Raw genomic sequence first — 1,896 nt, forward strand, 5'->3', positions numbered from 1 at the left:
AAGTAAATCCCTTAAGGGATAAGTAAATGGTGTTTGGGAAACAGATTAGGCATTTGAGAGGGGAAATTTGCATTCATAACTCAAGTTCAGACTTTGTAACAAAACAATTAAGCCTTTCAAAACATATCATGAAAACTAGAAACCACAAAGACTAATACATTTCATTATATTTAAAATGACATATGACATATATATAAAATACATAATAGGCAAAAATGGTTAATCTCAAATATACAAAAAGTTATTAATACTAGGAAGAATGAACAGTCAATAGAAAAACAGTCAAAGAACATGAAAAGGGCTGGGCGCGGTGGCTCACGCCTGTAATCCCAGCACTTTGGGAGGCTGAGGCAGGCGGATCACGAGGTCAGGTGATCGAGACCATCCTGGCTAACACGGTGAAACCCTGTCTCTACTAAAAATACAAAAAATTAGCGGGGCGGGTGCCTGTAGTCCCAGCTACTCAGGAGGCTGAGGCAGGAGAATGGCGTGAACCCAGGAGGCGGAGCTTGCAGTGAGCCGAGATCGCACCACTGCACTCCAGCCTGGGCGACAGAGCGAGACTCCGTCGCAAAAAAAAAAAAAAAAAAAAAAAGAACATGAAAAGGAAGTCACACGCTGACACACACAAACACACACACACATACACTTCCACAAATGCCCAGTCAACAGATGAAAGCTCAATCAACATTAAACAGGACATGGTTTTTGCCCATTGGAATTAGCAATACAATGTTATCAAGTATGGAAATATTATTGTGCATTATGAATGGAAGAGTAACCAAAAGAGACTTTCTGGAAAGCGGTTCATGCTTTTACACAGCTATTCCACTTACAGGTTTTTACCCTAAGGAGAAATTACCCATGTGCTGAAAGACATATGCACCAGAGTGTTCACCTATTATTTATAATGTTAAAGACATATAAACCAAATGTCAATAATTGCAAGGCTAGGTTAAATAAACCATGATATACACATTCTCTTGTATGTGCAGCTATTAAAAATTATGTAGTCCTATATTTGATGCCATGGAAAGATCCTTATTTGAAGAAATGCAGATTATAGAACATTATGTTTATGATCCTATTTATATAAAAGTGTATTCATATCTATCCACATATGCTCATATTTAGAGACGACCAGAAGATTGTTTACAAAACTGTTAACATTAGTTATTTCTGGGTTCTGGCACTGCAGGTGATCTTTACTTGTCTGCACTTTCTTGTATCATTCCAGTTTTGAAGGGGTTTATTTTTTCAATGAGTATGTGTCATTTTTACTAAAACAAAGATATTTTTTCTAAAACGATGCTGGTTTCATCAAACAAGGATATCAAAAACAAATAAAAAGATGCTTCTCTGCTTTAAGAACAAATCATAGGAATAATCATAAAGTAGTTGAGGCTTTTCTCCAGTTTCCTTCATATTACATGCTCAGCTGGTCACTCTGGAATTGTCACTCTCAACTGATGAACTGCAGGCTCTCAACTGGTGGTCAATCAACTCCTATTGAAGACATTAATAGATGTTAGTGTTTAGTTGGTGATATGGTTTGACTGTGTTCCCACAATTCTCATGTGTTGTGGGAGGAACCTGGTGGGAGGTAATTGAATCACGGAGGTGGGTCTTTCCTGTGCTGTTCTCGTGACAGTGAATAAGTCTTGTGGGAGCTGATGGTTTTTTGGTTTTTGCTTTTTGGGTTTCTTTTTTTTTTTTTTTTTTTTGAGATGCAGTCTCGCTCTGTCACCAGGATGGAGTGCAATGGCACAATCTCGGTTCAGTGCAACTTCCACCTCCCGGGTTCAAGCAATTCTCCTACCTCAGCCTCTGGAGTAGCTGGGATTACAGGCACACACCACCATGCCTGGCTAATTTTTGTATTTTTTTTTCAGTAGA

This window comes from Homo sapiens, chromosome 13 (genome assembly GCF_000001405.40).
Source record: "Homo sapiens chromosome 13, GRCh38.p14 Primary Assembly".
In the NCBI taxonomy this organism is placed as follows: Eukaryota; Metazoa; Chordata; class Mammalia; order Primates; family Hominidae; genus Homo; species Homo sapiens.